At 39.8% G+C, this 19,595-nt stretch overlaps 1 protein-coding gene and 1 pseudogene across 13 annotated transcripts in view, besides 2 other annotated features; one reads left to right on the top strand and one right to left on the bottom strand.

Moving 5' to 3' along the window:
* The window catches only part of FBXO34 (F-box protein 34), a 171,629-nt gene that overhangs the window by 151,374 nt on the left and 660 nt on the right, over positions 1-19,595 (bottom strand). For 6 of the 13 annotated variants that reach the window (XR_007064023.1, XR_007064022.1, XR_007064024.1 and 3 more), the window contains exon 1: positions 19,371-19,576. The exons of 6 other annotated variants lie outside the window; for them this stretch is intronic. Coding sequence is in view for 1 of the 7 variants with exons in the window: in XM_017021391.2 (XP_016876880.1) it covers positions 19,371-19,372 (2 nt within the window). In the remaining 6 variants the exon portion in view is untranslated. Of the gene's footprint in view, positions 1-19,370; positions 19,577-19,595 lie in introns of those variants that run through there. One more of the 13 variants, NM_152231.2, reaches the window with a different exon arrangement.
* Positions 3,694-3,823: a silencer, noted in NCBI's record as "fragment chr14:55754571-55754700 (GRCh37/hg19 assembly coordinates)". NCBI's record gives its function as "represses an EF-1alpha promoter that drives an FKBP-Casp9 reporter gene in an ReSE screen in HepG2 liver carcinoma cells and K562 erythroleukemia cells {active_cell/tissue: HepG2 | K562}" and the evidence as "EXISTENCE:reporter gene assay evidence [ECO:0000049][PMID:32094911]".
* On the top strand, positions 9,033-9,380 carry RPL34P28 (ribosomal protein L34 pseudogene 28; annotated as a pseudogene).
* Positions 11,966-12,065: an enhancer, noted in NCBI's record as "active region_8428". NCBI's record gives its function as "activates an Ori minimal core promoter by ATAC-STARR-seq in GM12878 lymphoblastoid cells {active_cell/tissue: GM12878}" and the evidence as "EXISTENCE:reporter gene assay evidence [ECO:0000049][PMID:35858748]".

The following is a 19,595-nucleotide window of genomic DNA, read 5'->3' as shown; positions in this document are numbered from 1 at the left end:
TTTTATTAGAGGTGGGGTCTTGCTATGTTGTCCAGGCTGGTCTCCAATTCTTGGCCTCAAGCAATCCTCCCCACTTCACCTCCTGAAGTGAGGAGGCATAAGCCACTATGCCCAGCCCTAACCTACTTTTTAATTTAAAAACTCCTAAAGAATACATTATTACCCTGTTTTCCTGTCAGTTCACAGTGACATGTTTGTGAGTAGAAGGGTTTCTCATCTACCTTTAACCATCAATCTTCTGCTACAATTGGCCTAAATAAAATGAAAACATGCTGCATATGCTTCACCCCAACTAGCATTACATTAGCTAACTGTGTAATCCATGCTTTCTAGGTATCATCAGTATGTAAGCATAGAAGTATTTTCTCTACCTACATGTCCTATCAGGCAAATTAGAGCTACCCTCTGTCATTTTTTTACCTATGAAATTAGCAAATACAAAAACTGTGTCAGCAAGGATATGAGAAAACAAGTGTATTGTCCAACTGCAAATACTCTTTGATCCAGTAGTTCCCCTTCTAAAAATGTATCCCACAAAACACCATCTGAGGCCAGGCATGATGGCTCATGCCTAAAATCATAGCACTTTGGGAGGCCAAGGCAGGAGGATCACTTAAGGTCAGGAGTTCAAGACGAGCATGGCCAACATGGTGAAACCCCCTGTCTCTACTAAAAATACAAAAAAAAAACTAGGTGGGCATGGTGGCAGGTGCCTGTAATCCCAGCTACTCAGGTGGCTGAGGCAGGAAAATCACTTGAACTCCGGAGGCAGAAGTTGCAGTGAGCTGAGATAGTGCCACTGCACTCCAGCCTGGGCAACAGAGACTCTGTCTCAAAATAAATAAATAAAAATAAATCTGAATAAGGTTATTCACTGCAGCATTGTTTATAATGGGAAAAAAAGATAATAAAGACTGCATTTCTCAACCTTCTTTGCATTCAGATGTGGCTATGACACTAAGTTCTAACTAATGAAACATAATTCAAACTGCTATGAAGTGACAGCTTCTAGAAACCTTCCTTTAAAAGGGTAACATAGAACCTCTGCCCTTTCATGCACCCTGCTGCTCGGAATGGGCTCCAATAGCTGGAGATCTTGCTAAGTCAATGAGGACACAGGCAGCATACATAGAGCAGTATTAGTATAGAAAAAGGCCAATCAGAAAAGTGATGGTAGGGGGTGATGACCTCACTGAACCATGCACTTAACATCTGTGTATGTTACTGTATCCATTATGCCTCAATTAATTAATTAATTTATTTATTTTATTTATTTTTTTTTTTTGAGAGAAGTCTCACTCTTGCCCCCAGGCTTGAGTGCAATGGCTCGATCTCGGCTCACTGCAACCTCCACCTCCCGGGTTGAAACGATTCTCCTGCCTCTGCCTCCAAGTAGCTGGGATTAAGGCACCTGCCACCACACCAGGCTAATTTTGCATTTTTTAGTAGAGACGGGGTTTCACCATGTTGGCCAGGCTGGTCTCAAACTCCTGACCTCAAGTGGGATCCGCCCGCCTCAGCCTCCCAAAGTGCTGGGATTACAGGCGTGAGCCACCATGCCCGGCCAAATTATGCCTCAATTTAAAAAAAGGAGAGTAAGAGAAAAACAGCACACCATGAGTTCCAGATGAGCCCTAAATCACCCTCCTGAATTTTTAAAAGAAAAATACTTTGTTGTTGTTTAAGTCACTGTTAAGTTTTCTATCACAAATACACTCTTCATACACCAATATGTAAAGAATTTAAAAACTACTGTTAGGTGAAAAAAGCAAGCTAATAGTATACAGAGTATGCTACCATACTTGTTTTTTTTTTTAAAGGTAGACAGTGACTGGGCTTGGGGACCCACTCCTGTAATCCCAGCACTTTGTGAGGCCAAGGCAGAATAATCCTTGAGTCCAGGAGTTTGAGACTAACCTGGGCAACAAAGTAAGACTCTGTCTCTACAAAAATAAATAAATAAATAAATAAAACTAGCTGGACGTAGTGGTGCATGCCTGTATTCCCAACTACTTGGGAGGCTGAGGTGGGAGGATTTCTTGAGCCCAGGATGTTGTGGCTGCACTGAACTGTGATCATGCCACTGCACTCCAGCCTGGGGCACAAAGCAAGACCTCTTTCTTTCTGTCATATATACACACATACACACATACATAGAAAGAAAGAATCGTATACCGGAAGAATAGATAAGAAACTGGTAACACTGTTTGCTTCCAGAGAGGGGTAAAGTGTGCCCAAGAGACAGGGGAAGGAAGAAAACTTCTCATTTTTTGCACCTTTTGTGTTTGAAGCATGTGAACATATTATTCAAAAAGTAAATGTTCTTCCATCCTACTAAAATATACAAACTTTTTTGAAATTTTGGTATATGCAGATTTCAATGATTTGAAGGTTTATATTAGATTTTGGTTTTGAAATACTTCCACACTAAACTAATTACCTAAGAACTACTAGATACAAAAATAACAAAATTTAAAAATGCTGGAAAGGGGGGAAAAAAGAGAAGGCTAAGAACTCTAAATCATTTGAGAGAAAAGGGCAAGAAAACATTTTCACCAAAAAGAGAAGTTTTGGGGTCATTTTGCTGCTTGAAATATATATTACATATACTTTTTTTGTTTTTTTGAGACAGAGTCTCGCTCTGTCACCCAGGCTGGAGTGCAGTAGCTTGATCTCAGTTCACTGCAACCTCCACCTCCCAGGTTCAAGCGATTCTCCTGCCTCAGCCTCTCCAGTAACTGGGATTACAGGCATGCGCCACCACGCCTGGCTAATTTTTGTGTTTTTAGTAAAGATGGGGTTTCACCACATTGGCCAAGCTGGTCTCGAACTCCTGACCTCAAGTGATCCGCCCACCTGAGCCTCCCAAAGTGCTGGTATTACAGGCGTGAGCCACCATGCCCGGCCCTATATATTTTTTTCATTTCTCATCATTTACTCTTGGAGTAAAACAAACAAAGCAGCTAGCTAAATCAAATCGTCCAACAAGCCTTTTCTCTGATTAACTGAAGAAATCATTACAAAAGGTTCTTTCTTGCTAGAGGAGTACAGTTTCTAAACAGTTACAAGTAGGATCATTTGAAAGTCTATGAATCAGACTGAAATAAAATGAGGATTTCTGAGAAATGTATCAAACAGGCCGTACGTGGTTTTCTTTTCAACACTATTTTAAAATATGTGAATATAAACTCTTGCCTTTTTCATGGCATAAACAACACAACAAGAGTTACTCAAAATCTACTCTTAATTAAACCATTTAATTTTGCAGTAGCCCAAGTCTTGGACTATTTTTTCCCAGCTATGATTAGTGTATGTAATTTTATATTCCATTTTTATGTACTTATTTCTATGTAATGATTATAATTTAAATGCACAAAATTAAAAAAATTTCTTTACTTTAGAAATACCCAAAAAAAATTGGATTTTCCTTTTGGAAAACCTTGTTTCTCACACCAATGCCAAAAGATGACTAACCACATCATAAGGTAGAGGTCATGAAGCATAAATTATTGATCCATACCAATTACAAGCAACTTCTTAAGTAATAAATTATATTTAAACCCACAAAGGAGACATCATTTATACCTCCTGGCTGATAGCACAGGTTGAGAATTCCTAATCCAAAAATCCGAAATCCGAAATGGTCCAAAATCCAAAACTTTTTGAGCTCCAACACGATGCCACAAGTGGAAAATTCCACACCCAACCTCATGTGACAGGTCACAGTCAAAACACAGGCACACAACAATGAAGATGACATTGTTAACACAGCAAAAAAAGTGCTTATTGCCGACATGATGCAAATGCATGTTGGGCTTATTAGAGAACCAGAGCAGCATGCATTCATAACAAAATCATGCTAGTTTATAAAATCACAGAGAGACTTCTAAGACAAAAACTGTTGTTAATGAGACAAGTGACTCTGGCGGAAATATTTTTAAAAGCCATCTAGCAGAATGCCTTCTCTTCCCTAGAGGCCCCATTTCCTGGTCCCTCAATCGATTCTGATGTTTCTTCCGGCCTTAATAAAACAAACAAACAAACAAAAAGTCTAGAAACCTTTTAATCAAAAAATAACATCATAGGTGGGGACTGAAAGCCTAACCTTATTTGTTGATGATGTTGCTTAACAGCAGATACACATATTCTGGTGATGCTATTGTGCTTAGTTACCCTGAACACATTATTATTCCACTATATTAATGGTATGTCATACTTTTTACTGTTATTTTTTACTTTTTTCTTATACTTATGTGTGAATAAGTATAAGAAAATGACTGCTTATCAGTATCATATAAATTCAGTTGAGTGTGATGGTGATGCTAAATAACTACAGACTGTGCACATGAGTGACTAAGATTGTGACACCTTTGCTAACACTTCAATGTACACAAACTTTGTTTCCTGAACAAAATTATTTAAAATATTGTATAAAACTACCTTCAGGCTATGTGTATAAGATGTAAATGATACCGGGTACAGTGGCTCATGCCTGTAATCCCAGCACTTTGGGAGGCCAAGGCAGATGGATCACCTGAGGTCAGGAGTTCAAGACCAGCCTGGCCAACAAGGTGAAACCCCATCTCTACTAAAATACAAAAACTAGCCAGGTGTGATGGCACACCTGTAATCCCAGATACTGGGGAGGCCAAGGCACGAGAATCGCTTGAACCTGGGAGGTGGAGGTTGCAGTGAGCTGAGATCAAGCCACTGCACTCCAGCCTGGGCGAAAAAGCGAGACTCTGTCTCAAAAAAAAAAAAAAAAAAAAGTAAATGAAACATAAATGAATTCCGTGTTTCAATGTGGGTCCCATCTCCAAGATATCTCATTACGTATATGTGAATATTACAAATTCAAAAAAAAAAATCCAAAATCCAAACCACTTCTGGTCCCAAGCATGTAAGATAAGAGATACTCAACCTGTAGTACAAACATCAAATTGTTTTGAACAGGGTTGTAGGGTTACAAACAAAATCACTTATCCTTTAAAAATTCTTAGTAACTAGTGTGGAAATTTCGTTAGGGGCTTACAATCATTAACCCTATCAGAGTAAATGCTCCTGAGGGCAAACACTACACTTTCCAATACAGTTATCTGTATTATTCCATAAAGTAGAATTTCAGCAACATAGACTAAAGGGACATTCAAACATAGAAGACTGAAAGTAGGCACACTATTAATATTTGGTAAGTAAACTGAGCAGGAGTTTAAAAACAAATACAATGCACAAGGAAATAAAATTAAAATTTAGCATTATTTCAAGATATCTACACCACAGCCGTACAACGCAAATGACAAATGTCTTGAGAAAGCCAAAAGTTACACCGAGGTTCATTAATGAAGGCTTGATATGGTTTTCTTCTAAAAGGGAAAAAAACTAAGTTTGTGTCTGCCAAGAACATTAAATTGAATTCACGTCGAATCTTCAAGAATATCACTCTTACTTTAATAAACCAAGAAGTCTAACATCCTTTAAAAGTAGAAAGATGGGAAGTTACACTCATTTTTTACAAATTGGGAAGGGAAAGAGGTAGAGATTAATTTTCTCTTCTAAGTTATTGATTGGAAGGAATTTGGAAGGAAAAAAAAGAACTAATCAAATTTTCATACAGCATTCTCCATGAATACTAAATAAGCAGTATAAATACAAGCATGTGGGTTACTCAAATTCAATTCTAACGAATTTTGACTGAACATCTAAAGATAGAGGGTATTCCTGATTCTATGGGAAACAAAGATTAGTAACTGTCAGACCACTCCTTAAGGGACTTATGCAAGAGTCCAAAATCTTAACACTTTTAACAGGAATTCTCACTGGATTATGACTTCAGTAACACCAACATGTATTTAAATCATAGCCATTAAACATGAGAAACATGAACAAGTGTTCAGTTCAACAAGTGTTCGGTTAAAGGAACACTTGAAACACCTGAAAAGACCTTTAATGAAATAAAACTTGAATATTTAAGTAGACCAACAAATGAGCTGGCAGGGAGATTTTAATTGCTAAAACTAATACCTTTTAAGGAGGCATGTTCTCCTTCTAGTTATGTCCCCTAAAAGGGGATGGAGGAAATCCCATGAAGTGTTCATAAAGGAATTTTTTTTTTTTTAAAGAGACAGAGTCTCACTATGTTGCCAATGCTGGACGGCAGTGGTTATTCACAGGCACGATCCCACTACTGATCAGCATGGGAGTTTTGACCTGCTCTGTTTCCAACCTGGAAACCTCCCTTCACCCCACCTTAGGTAACATGCTGTTCCTCGACTCCCAGGAGAAAGAACAATTTTTTTTTTTTTTCTGAGACAGAGTTTCGCTCTTGTTGCCCAGGCTGGAGTGCAACTGCACTACCTCGGCTCACTGCAACCTCTGCCTCCTGGGTTCAAGCCATTCTTCTGAATCAGCCCAAGTAGCTGGGATTCCAGGAATGCGCCACCACGCCTGGCTAATTTTGTATTTTTAGTAGAGACAGGGTTTCTCCATGTTGGTCAGGCTGGTCTCAAACTCCTGAACTCACGTGATCCGCCCACCTCGGCTTCCCAAACTGCTGGTATTACAGGCGTGAGCCACTGTGCCCGGCCGGAACAATTCTTGAAAGAAGCTTTACAACTGATCTTTGCAGTTTTTTTTTTTTTTTAACCTCACCTGGCCAGAGAGAATGTTCTCTGCATTTTAAAATAGGACAATTAAAAGCAAGATAAACATGGTAAAGATTCACAAAACAAAACAAGACAACTGCAGTAAGAACCAAGGTAAGGCCAGATATGGTGCTCAAGCCTGCACTCTCACAGCATTTTGGGAGGCTGAGGAGGGAGGATCACTTGAGTCCAGGAATTCAAGACCAGCCTGGGCAAAGGCGTGAAACCCTATCTCTACAAAAGATACAAAAATCAGCTGGACGTGGTGGCACATGCCTGTAGTCCCATCTACTCAGGAGGATGAGATGGAAAGATTGCTTGAGCCTGGGTGGTTGAGGTGCAGTGAGCTAAGAATGCACCACTACACTCTAGCTTGGGTGACAGAGACCCTGTTTCAAAAAAAAAAAAAAAAAGTAACAAAATTTTAGGTAACCACAAACACTCAAAATCCAGAGGCTAGGTCCCTGAATCAAATAAAAAGAGAAGAAAATAAATCATTCACTTTTTTTTTTTTTTTTTTTGGAGACAGAGGTTCACTCTTGTTGCCCAGGCTGGAGTGCAATGGCACAACCTCGGCTCACTGCAACCTCCACCTCCGAGTTCAAGAGATTCTCCTGCCTCAGCCTCCCGAGTAGCTGGGATTACAGACATGTACCACCACGCCCGGCTAATTTTGTATTTTTAGTAGAGACAGGGTTTCACCATGTTGGTCAGGCTGGTCTCGAACTCCTGACCTCAGGTGATCTATGAGCATCAGCCTTCCAAAGTGCTGGGACTGCAAGCGTGAGCCACCGCACCCAACCCATATACTGTAATTTTTAAGTGTAAAAAAATTTTATACCCTACAGTCTTAAAAATACATGCAATTAGCACTAGGCATGGTGGTGCATGCTTGTAAGTCCTAGCTACTCAAGAGGCTGAGGCAAGAGGACTGCTTGAGCTCAGGAGTCTGAGGCTGCAGTAAGCTATGACCGTGCCACTGCACTGCAGTCTGAGCAAAAGAATGAGACCCTACCTCTAAAAATACATACACATACATACACATACACACACACACAGACACACACACACACACACACACACACACACATAGTCTTAGAATGTAAAGTCACGTTTTAATTTTAGGAAAAGTTATAACCTCCTACCAGCTAATAAAACAAAAATGTGAACTCTCCAGTAAAGTTAGTATTTTTTTGGACTTTAATAACCAATTTTATTATATTTACCTAAAAGGGGGGAAAACACAAAGTGTTAAATAAAAAGAATAAATTCTTGGCTGGGCATGGTGGCTCACGTGCCTGTAATCCCAGCACTTTGGGAGGCCAAAGCAGGCGGATCATGAGGTTAGGAGTTCAAGAACAGCCTAACCAACATGGTGAAACCCCATCCCTACTAAAAATACATTAGTCGGGCATGGTGGTTGGCTCCTGTAATCCCAGCTACTCAGGAGGCTGAGGCAGGAGAATCGCTTGAACCCAGGGGGTGGAGGTTGCAGTGAGCTGAGATCACACCACTGCACTCCAGCCTGGGCAACAGAGTGAGACTGTCTCAAAAAAAAAAAAAAAGAAAGAAAAAAAGAATAAATTCTTACAGACTGCTATTTGCCAAAGAATATAAATATCTGTAAAATTATGCTAAAAGAAAAAGTGATGGAAATATAACTAATACACTTAACATACTACCTCGCATATAAAATAGGTTGTAATAAATCGGCTGTGAAATTCCACAAGTTAAAAATGTTGGTGTATTTTTTTTTAGCTTTTTATCAATCTAATCATAGCCTATGTTAAGTAAAATACAGCAAAGAAAATGTCAAATGAAAGACGATTCAATAAAGCATAAAGCTCTTAAGGCCCTCCCTGGACTTATTTTCAGGAAACATTTTGATAGTCCTTCGTTCCACAAATGAGCTAAAATATAGTGACGATGGTAGAGCTCTTCATCCAAGAAAGAAGACAGCCTGAACAAGAGAAACCTATTCCCTAGGGTTAAAGTGACTAGGGTTTGTAAAAAAGTACTGACAACCTCCAGAGAATAATCCTGATGACTGAACTTGAAATAAAACCTCTTGCCCTACTTTGGAAACAAGTTTGCCTCTCCTGGTTTCTGGACAATAAAGCAAAAGTGTCCTTTGAGACTACCTTACGAAACTCAAATTTCATCTTCAGAAACTCCAACTAATCAATAATTCCCTATTCTGTAGTTCCAAGAATGATTCTACAGTTTCAAATAAACTACTCAATGAACAAAATTAATCTTTTTAATTGTCATAAAGCAAATGAACACCAACTCCTACAAATGAATCTGCTAAAAAGTGTCTAAGTTAACAAGCAGAGTAGAAAACACAGCAACTGCTTTTTTTTCCGGGGACATTGTCTACAGTCACTCAGAATGGTCCAGTGTATGACATACAATCATCAGCTTTCCTACAACACAGCCTTCAACAGAAATAGGGTGTCCCAAGCCCCTGGCAATAGAACTGTTTACCAACCAAGAAGGTTGGGAAAGGCACAAGATTGGCATGTGGCATGTGCCCAGACAGACTTCGAGGGGTTTGTGCCGTGAGATTTAAAGTTCTTATAATGCTGTCTACAATGAAAAAAACATGTCAGCAGGGCCTATCGTGGTCCAATGTGTGCTAAATGAATCCATGACAGGATCAAGGGTGCCTTCCTTATCAAGAAGCAGAAAATCATTGTGAAAGTGTTGAAAGCACAAGCACAGAGTCAAAAAGCTAAATTTGGCGGGGCGCGGTGGCTCAGGCCTGTAATCCCAGCACTTTGGGAGGCTGAGGCGGGCGGATCATGAGGTAAGGAGATCAAGATCATCTTGGCCAACATGGAGAAACCCTGTCTACTAAAATACAGAAAATTAGCCAGGCATGGTGGCATGCGCCTGTAGTCCCAGCTGCTCGGGAGGCTGAGGCAGGGGAATCGCTTGAACCCGGGAGGCGGAGATTGCAGAGAGCCGAGATCGTGCCACTGCACTCCAGCCTGGCAACAGAATAAGACTCTGTATCAAAAAAAAAAAAAAAAAAAAAAAAGCTAAATTTAAAAATGAAACTTACTGGAATAAACAATTCATTTCAAAAAAACGTAAAGCTACAAATTTACATAGCCCAGCTATGTCCTTTCTAAAGATAAGGAAAAGCTAAGCCTTCGATATGTGCCTACAATTCAGGGATAATATATGAAGCTTAGAATTTATTAGGGGAGATAAGGCTCATTACACGTGAAACAAAGAGCAACAAGCAACAGTATACAATGAAATGCCAACGTGCTGAGTGGCTAAGTACTCAATATACACCATAGAAATTTGGGAAATGGTAAGGATGTTACAGAGGGATTGGTGAGTCCAACAAGGTTTTATGGGAATAGACTTCGTAAAACAGATGTAATATTTGGAGAAATGAAAGGAGAAAGCAAGGCTGAGGAAACTGCCTGAATACCAGGTTTATTGCAGGGAGTCCCAGAAAATGAAGAGGAAGGGTGGGACTATCTTATGACGTCTAAACCTAGAGCAGGTTCTCATTTGGAGAGTAACATCATCCCGCTGGAATTTTTGTCCAACTAACCTGCCAACTGTGTATAAGATTGAAGGGGGCAAATATGGAATTATAAAAAAACGTCATAGAGACAATTACAGAAATCTAAATTCACAATGATCATTGGTCTAGATCTGTCCTATCCAATACAGCAGCCACTAACCACATGTGGCCTTTGGCACCTGAAATATTAGTAGTCTGAACTGAGATGTGCTTTTTTTTTTTTTTTTTTTTTAAGGAGTCGGGTCTCACTCTGTCATCCAGGCTGGAGTCCAGTGGCACGATCATAGCTCACCATAACCTAAAACTCCTGTGTTCAAGAGATTCTCCTGCCTCAGCCTCCCAAGCAGCTAGGACTACAGGCATGGGCTACCATGCCCAAAGGGATATGCTTTAAGTCTAAAATGCACACCAGACTGTAAACTATTTCAGTAATTTTTATATTGATTTCAATGTGAAATCATGTTCTGGATATATTGTGTTAACGTATTTTTTAAATATTTTTCACCTGTTTCTTTTTCCTTTTTTAATGTGGCTAACTAGAAAATGGTAAATTACATACATACAAGGTTCATATTATAGTCATCCCTCAGTATCCATGGCGGATTGGTTCCAGGACCTCCCTTGGACACCAAACTCCATGGATGCTCAAGTTCCTGATATATGGCTGGGCGTGGTGGTTCACGCCTGTAATCCCAGCACTTCGGAAGGCTGAGGCGGGAGGATCACGAGGTCAGGAGATCGAGACCATCCTGGCTAACATGGTGAAACCCCGTCTCTACTAAAAATACAAAAAATTAGCCGGGCGAGGTGGCGGGCACCTGTAGTCCCAGCTACTTGGGAGGCTGAGGCAGGAGAATGGTGTGAACCTGGGAGGCGGAGCTTGCAGTGAACCAAGATCGCGCCACTGCACTCCAGCCTGGGTGACAGAGTGAGACTCCATCTCAAAAAAAAAAAAAAAAAGTTCCTGATATAAAATGGTGTAGTATTTGCATATAACCTACGCACATTCTACCGCATACTTTAAACAAACTCTAGATTACTTAAAATACCTAATACAATGTAAACGCTATGTAAAGAGTTATGCTGTACTGTCATGACAAGAAAAAAATAATCTGTACACGTTCAATACAGATGTAATTTTTTTTCCTCAGGTATTTTCCATCTGAGGTTGGTTGGATCCATGGATGATAAACCCACAGATAGAGGGCTATTTCTACTCAACAGCGCTGCTCTACATAGTTATCTCAACTTTTCTGGTTCTCCCATTCCCATTTTTTAAAACATTTTTAACATGTACCCACAAATATGATGTGATATATATACATGTATGTACATATATCATGTACTAATATATTTTACATACATATAAAATGTATATAAATACTAGTAGGATGAGAAGAATAAACAGAAGTTTCAATATTTTTCTTTCCACAATCCAATGGACTAATCCACACACTACCACACTGGAGGTTTAAGATATTATCAAAGAGACTAAACACAAAAAGGCAAATGCAAATGAAAGTTTCACTAAAACTTAATGACTGGTTGACCATGGAGGTAAAGGGAGAGGATGGACATAATGCTATTTGCTACTCAGTATCTACTGGCTCTTTATTTAGGGGCACTTAGCAAATTCTTCCAGATCCTGCCATCCACTGCTTCTTGATTTTCCCTTGGAAATCCACTTCCTCTCCCATGATGCTGGTTAGGAGGGAATGACCCCCAGCTCCAGAGGTAGGCCCAGGCTGGCTAAACTAATTAGCAAATCCTATTTCTCTTGCCTTAATGGTTCATTCAGAAATGACAACATAACCCAAAGTCAATGAGACACAAGAATACATTTCTTGAACTTCTAGGAAGAGAAACTCTTCTAGCAGTGGTTCTTAAGCTGAGGTTCACACATACTCCAAGGGTTTATATATAGAATTCAGGGTGTCGTTAAACTGAGAAAAACAAATTACATCTTTACTTTAACCTCTAACTGAAATTTAGCATTTCCTTTCACTGTGAATTCAGCCAAAACACCACAATAGTATTATATTAGCAATATCTGTTCATTTTGTCACCAGTAGAAATCACAGTTTATTTATTTTCCTATCACATGATCTTTCGTTACAGATACCTCCAAATAGTAATAATACTCATCACCACTTGGAAATTATTAGACCCCACTAAATATATTTTTTCCTTTTTTTTTTTTTTTGACGGAGTCTCGCTTATGTCGCCCAGGCTGGAGTGCAGTGGCATGACCTCAGCTCACTGCAGCCTCCGTCTCCCGGGTTCAAGCAATTCTCTGCCTCAGCCTACCAAGTAGCTGGGATTACAGGCACCCACCACCATGCCCAGCTAATTTTTGTATTTTTAGTAGATGGGGTTTCACCATCTTGACCAGGCTGGTCTCCTGACCTCGTGATCCACCCACCTCGGCCTCCTAAAGTGCTGGGATTACAGGCGTGAGCCACCACGCCCGGCCTTCACTAAATCTCTTTAATAAAGAAACAGGGTGGGCATGGTGGCTCACGCCTATAATCCCAGCATTTTGGGAGGCCAAGGCAGGAGGATGGCTTGAGCCCAGGAACTCGAGACTAGCCTGGGCAACATGGCGAGACCTCATCTCTACAAAAAATTTAAAAATTAGCTGCGTGTGGTGGTGCGCACCTGTGGTCCCAGCTACTCAGAAGGCTGAGGTGAGAAGATCACTTGAGCCTAGGAGGTTCAGCTGCAGTGAGCCTTGTTAGCACCACTGTACTCCAGCCTAGGCAACAGATCAAGCACCTGTCTCAAAAAAAGAAACAGGTATTACCAACAATTTTTTAAAATACTTTTATAACTACATTTTAATGTAACTAGTTTTCTTTGTACAGTAGTCCTATGTATTTTCCTCTGGACTTGATAGCATGAGGTTGTAGGGCTTGAGCTGCAACAAACATGTGAACACAAAGGGACCAAAACCACGGAAGCTGAGCTCATTAAATAAAGGAAGAGAAAGATTAAGTCTGATCACACAAGTATAACTGAATCAAGCCTCAACTTTGGACTTTTTAATATTGTGAGCCAGTGAATTTGAGTTGGTTTTCTGTTACATCTGCATTAAAAAAATCTAAATGATACAGTTTTCAATAGTTTCTACCTCAGAAAACTGGAACAATACCCATCCCTTTGGACTGAAAAAGGAAACTTAGAAAAAGCTTAACTTCGTCACAGTGAGGGAATCTGGGGAAAATGAGTTCAGTTCCTCACAAACTGAATGTACTGCAGACTCAATAATGCAATAAAGCTCTCACATGCACTTCCTGTTTTACATATAGGCAATGCTAAGGTTTCACATATGACCTAAGTATGGGCAAGCAGACATACCTGCATAAGATACAGAGAACAGAAACAACAGTCCTACCCAAGGAAGTTAAACTTCTGGTAGCGGCTTTCTGATTCAACGACATGGTTCTCGGTGCTGCGGTGGCAGTAGCCCCCTTGGCAGGCAAGCTCTGCAGTGTCATTCAGGGGTTTGTTTCTAGAAGTTCAGACTAATCTGTTGATTCAGCCCGCTCAAAGTTTACATATCTTTCTCTCAATAAATCCTGTTTGCTACAACTACTTAAAGCAAATGATCTTGCTACAGGATCCTGAATAAGCCAAAGTAAAAAGGGATATACAAAAGAAGCATCTTCCTAGTAGTCAGAAACCCAACAAGAGTTAACAGTTTATGAATAAAAATGTAGGCACGACTTGGATAGAATTATAACTGAGAAGCCCTAATTCAAGATCCACTCCTAAGAAACTTGCGTCCTCTGAATTCATGTAACATTTACTTATCTCTCTTCAGATACCTAATTACAACCCAGACTAAGCCCGTGGTACATGCCAGTTACTCAGAAGGCTGAGGATCACTTGAGCCCAAAAGTTCAAGGCTGCAGTACACTATAATTGGGCCTTTGAACAGCCACTGCACTCCAAACTGGGCAAGATCTAGTCTCTTTAAAAAATAATAATAAAAAAAAAAGCAGCCAGGCATGGTGGCACACACCTGTAGACCCAACTACTCAAGAGGCTGAGGAAGGAGGACGGCTTGAGCCCAGGAGCTCAATGTTACAGTGAGCTATGAATTGCACCACTGTACTTCAGTCTGGGCAACAAAGCGAGACTGTCTCAAAAAACAAAACAAAACAAAAAATTAAATCATATAGCAAGGGCTATGTTCTTCATTTCTTTATACTCTGAACACCAAGCACAATGCGACCCTAATGTACTTCTAACAAAGTAGACCATTTGAACAAGTAGTTTCAGAAGGAACTAGTAGAAATATGATTGCAGGAGATTAAACAGCTAATGAAATTAACCTAGAAGGTGCAGGAAGGAACTTTTTGTGGTGATGAAAATGTTCTATATCTTGACAGGGATATGGATTACACAGATGTATGAACTTGTTCAAACTAAGGGAATGGTATACATAAGATTTGTACATTTTACTATATACAAGTTTTGCCTAAAAACTGTAATGCCCAACCTTGTTTTATCCTTATTCACCTGGCCTTGTTTCTCCCTTAGCTAAGAGAACCAGACAAACTCCATCTTGGCTTTCACTGGCAGCCCCTTCCCTCAAGGACTTTACTTGTGCAAGCTGACTCCCAGCACATCCAAGAATGCAATTAACTGATAAGATACTGTGGGAAGCTATATCCGCAGTCCCCAAGAATTCGTCTGATTGATAATGCCCAAAGCCCCGAATCTATCACCTTGTAATAGTCTTAAAGCCCCTGCACCTGGAACTGTTTACTTTCCTGTAACCATTTATCCTTTTAATTTTTTTGACTACTTAACTTCTGTAAAATTGTTTTAACTAGACCCCCCCGCTTCCTCAACCAAGATATAAAAGTTAATCAAGCCCCTTCCTCGGGGCCGAGAGAATTTTGAGCGTTAGCCGTCTCTCGGTCGCCGGCTAATAAAGGACTCTTAATTCGTCTCAAAGTGTGGCATTTTTCTAACTCGCTCAGGCACAACAAAACAAGTAAACAAATAGTTAATAATAGGCATGGGGAAATGTCTAGGTGTAAAGTATACTTTGAAATACAACAAAAACAAAAGGATTGATGAATGGATAGACCGATAGATAGGCAATAAAGCAAATACACCAAAATATGACTAACAATATAGGGGTGGTGGGTATTTAGGTATGCAATGTACAAACAATTCTTTCCACTTTTCTGTAATGAATGAAATGTTTCACTATGAAATCTTCCAGAAAGAAAGCAAACACTGGAAATGAAGGCTGTGAGAGGCTTGCGTATTTCCCAAGTTCATCAATTAAAGGACTGACTTTAAAGGAAAAGAAGGTATATGCATGCCTGAGAGTGGAAAGAAAAGGAGAAAAGGTATTCGGGTTGTCCCTCTTTTCTATGCTTCTAATTTTAGATTGCCTAGATAGACTAGTTCTGGCCTTGAGCACTTGTTCTTGCCTCTAAGGAAGCCCGAACTCACCAAGTTCCATTCATTCTAGCACAATCTCAATCTGTGGTTATCTAGGCCCTTTGTCTGTCTTGGGCTATGATAAGCTATTCCCTATTCTTTTTAACTGAGTTTCTAATACCTCCTTAAATTGACCTTTAACTAACACCTCTGGCCAATCTAGCATAACATAGTTTATCCTCGTTTTTTTTTTTTTTTTTTGAGACAGAGTCTCGCTCTGTCACCCAGGCTTAAGTGCAGTGGCGCCATCTCGGTTCACTGCAAGCTCTGCCTTCCGGGTTCACACCATTCTCCTGCCTCAGCCTCCCAAGTAGCTGGGACTACAGGTACCCGCCACCACGCCTGGCTAATTTTTTGTATTTTTTTTTTTTTTTAGTAGAGATGGGGTTCCACTGTGTTAGCCAAGATGGTCTCAATCTCCTGACCTCGTGTTCTGCCCGCCTCAGCCTCCCAACGTGCTGGGATCACAGGCATGAGCCACTGCACCCGGCCAATAGTTTATCCTCTTGACCCAACTCTAGCCTCTCACACCCAAGACCCATCATAGCAAGGCAATGTTAAAACAAAGGTTAAGGGTCCTTGCAGCAAGGATATATCATCTCTGTGTCACAGTCCCTATCTGAGTACCTGGCACAGAAATACTCAAAAAAATGTTTGCTGGATGAATGAAATCCATACCTAATAATGCAATAACCACACTTACATAGCACTTAGTTTCATATTTACACCTATACTCTACTGAGGATAGGAAATGTACATGTTAGGTTTCTGAAGCTGAATATTTTAAAATGGATTACTGAGAGCCTCTTCTGTGGAGCATTAACTAGAAGATGGAGGTGGGAATGAAAGGTTGATAAGTTCTTTTAACCAACACTAACAAACAACTACACTGTATTAATGCTCTCCTGGAAAATAAAGTATGTCATCAGCTTCAAAATACCATAAGCATTAACTAAAGGGGAGAAGATAAATTATGCAAAGATAAGAACTGACAGGAATTCAATTTCCAGATGACCTAAATGCATTTCGAGTTAATCTGCTCTTTTTTGTTTTTGTTGCTTCCAAAGGACTGCAGATTATGCACTTGCTGAATTTTGCCTTTGTCACACATGACCTAACAAGGAAGGCATTCATCATACCATAGTAGCTTCCCTCAAGTATCTGGTTCTAAACAGCTGCAAATTTTGGAAGATAACACTAAATGATGTCTCTAAAGATAAGTATGTTTTCTCCCAAACAAATATTAAAACAAGATTAAAGTTACTAGAACATAAAAACTGTCAAATTAAGCTAGCTGAACATAAATTAAGTTTAAAAAATAAAGTAAAAATTTTTAAGAATTTAAATTCTAAATGTTAATAAAATAACTGATCCAATAAACATATCCTGAGGAATTTCTACAATACAGCACTCTCATCTTGACATTTGCTTTTATCCATCAGAAAGATGGATAACGAATGACTGTTTAATTTAGTGCCTTCAAATTATATAAGTGAATAAAATGACTTAAAATAATAAACCAATCTCAAAATTAATTTCCATAAAACCATTTATATGAAGTAAAAGCTGCTTCCCAGACCCAAAACTGGAAAGCATGGGTGAAAAAGATCCTGCCAAAAATAGAAACAGACTGTAAAAATGTTTCACACGAGTTCTGGCTTGTTAGATAATTACACAACACTCACAAGCTGGCTTTTTAAATATCTGTCGTTGTCCCTCAGTCACATCAGTATGCACTATGACATTTATTCTTCACCTATTAACTCATTTTCCATGAGGAAAAATAAAAACTTCCTAACTGCTAAGCAAAATAGAGAGGAAAAATGCACTGCCGAATAGCAGGTATCTCCTTATCAGCTGCAGGTCTTTCAACTCTTATTTAGTCTGACTTTCATCCTTTCCCATTAATACTAGCACACCTGGCCGAGAACGGTGGCTCACACCTGTAGTCCCAGCACTTTGGGAGGCTGAGGTGGGCGGATCACGAGGTCAGGAGTTCATGACCAGCCTGGCCAACACAGTGAAACCCCGTCTTTGCTAAAAATACAAAAATTAGCCGGGCATGGTGGCACGCACCGGTAGTCCCAGCTATTCGAGGGGCTGAGCCAGGAGAATCGCTTGAACCCGGGAGGCGGAGGTTGCAGTGAGCCGAGATCGCACCACTGCACTCCAGCCTGGGTGACAGAGCGAGGCTCTGTTTCAAAAAAACATACAAAAAAACTAGTACACCTAACTTACATACAGCCGTGTAGCCGGCCCCAGAATCGCTACCGCTCGGGAAAGACACATGCAAGCGTCCATTTTGGACCTCCTTCAATTGCATTACATAGTATCTTGCCAAGATTCTTTCATCTTAAAGGTTGACTAACACTCTCAATATCAGCAGTTGCATAATAATTCAAGTGCCTCTCAGTCTCTGGTGATCCAAAGGCTCAAATGTGTATCTTTCATACAAAATTTTGTATACAAAATTTGTACATACGAAAAATAATTTGTATACAAAATTGTATCTTTAGAGACTTCACTCAACACTGTCAGCATAAAATTCCTCATTTCTTAAAAGAAGGAAGAAAAAACCAGAACAACTTTCAGTAGCGCACACAATGCTGTCAAATTCCCAAGGTTGTGGTGAGGATCAAAATAACATGTACAGGAAAGCCTTGTTTTGTGAACTTCCAGTCAAATCCAATAGTACCTAACGGGTAAATTTTTGCTTTTATTTCCTGCCTGAAAATGGGCATAACTTCCATCTGCATGTTGATGTAAAACCCAGAGAGACAGTATCTTATCAATCACCTCTAAAAGGCAAATGGGGAGCAGGAAGTATTGAGAGAGAGGAAAAAAAAAAAACCGTACCATTACAAGTCAAGGTCAGTGAGGAAGGATTAAGGACTTCTACCCAAGCTTCCTGCTAAAGACTAACTATGCTTCAAGTTTAAGCCATCTACCTTTTGAACTAGATTCCATTTACATTATTCTACAGAGGAGGAAATGAAAAGTACTGATATGCTGGAATACCCGAAGAGGGTCACTATGACAAAGTGACTAGCTTCTCTTCCAGTTAGATCTCTTCTGAAAGCTTTGGAAGAAAAACAGTATTCACAGACAAATCATTTTTTTATTCTCTAATTTCATATTTAAAAGCACTACAGACAAAATTTTAGTTACCTATCCAGACAAGCGGTCCTGGAATATGTTTTTATATTAAGTTATAGCCGGGTCTCAGTAAGAAAGCAAGAAAACAGCTTGTTGCTGACTTCTAAACCATGGTAGCATGGGGTGGTAGCATGGTACCATAGGGTGGGATAGGGACAACCTGGATAAATTAACTCCTCAGGTAATTATTATTTAAGACAAATGTTGGATTAATTCAAACTCCTCCCTCCCTTTACAACAGAAAAAAAAAATCATGTAAGATCCACTCTCCCTCCTCCTGGCCATTTTCTAACAAAAAATGCTAACAAGCAGATAGATGTCCAGTTAAAAAAAAAAAAAAAAAGCAAACTGATTTATCAACACTAGAAGTGGTTCTCTTTTTTTTCAGTAATTCTGATTGCAAACTATCAAACTACGAATTTAGCTTCCTAAAAGGCTTTTTACATTACACCCTCCAAAAAACCTCCTACCCTGACTTAAGTTTTTCTAAATCAAATGTCTTATACTGAGCTGTACTCGCAACGCTTGCTGGACAAGAAGTTAAAGAAATTGACAACTATTACATTAAAATTGCAAAATGCTGATACCGAACAACTTTCGATTCAAATCCACTGCGATTCCAAGCGTTCGTGGAAGACAACTTCCTTTTTCTACCCTGCGGGTCCCCCCGGCCCTTCCGTGAGCCCAGGTCCCCGCCCGGGCCTGCAGTGACATCCCAGGACCCATCTTCTGACGTCACAGACACACGGACCCACAGCCCTATGACTTCATCGTGGACTGAGGACGAA

The sequence above is a fragment of the Homo sapiens genome, chromosome 14 (assembly GCF_000001405.40).
Source record: "Homo sapiens chromosome 14, GRCh38.p14 Primary Assembly".
Taxonomy (NCBI): domain Eukaryota; kingdom Metazoa; phylum Chordata; class Mammalia; order Primates; family Hominidae; genus Homo; species Homo sapiens.
Note: the sequence above shows the minus strand (reverse complement) of the source record. Positions and strands in the feature narration are given on the sequence as shown.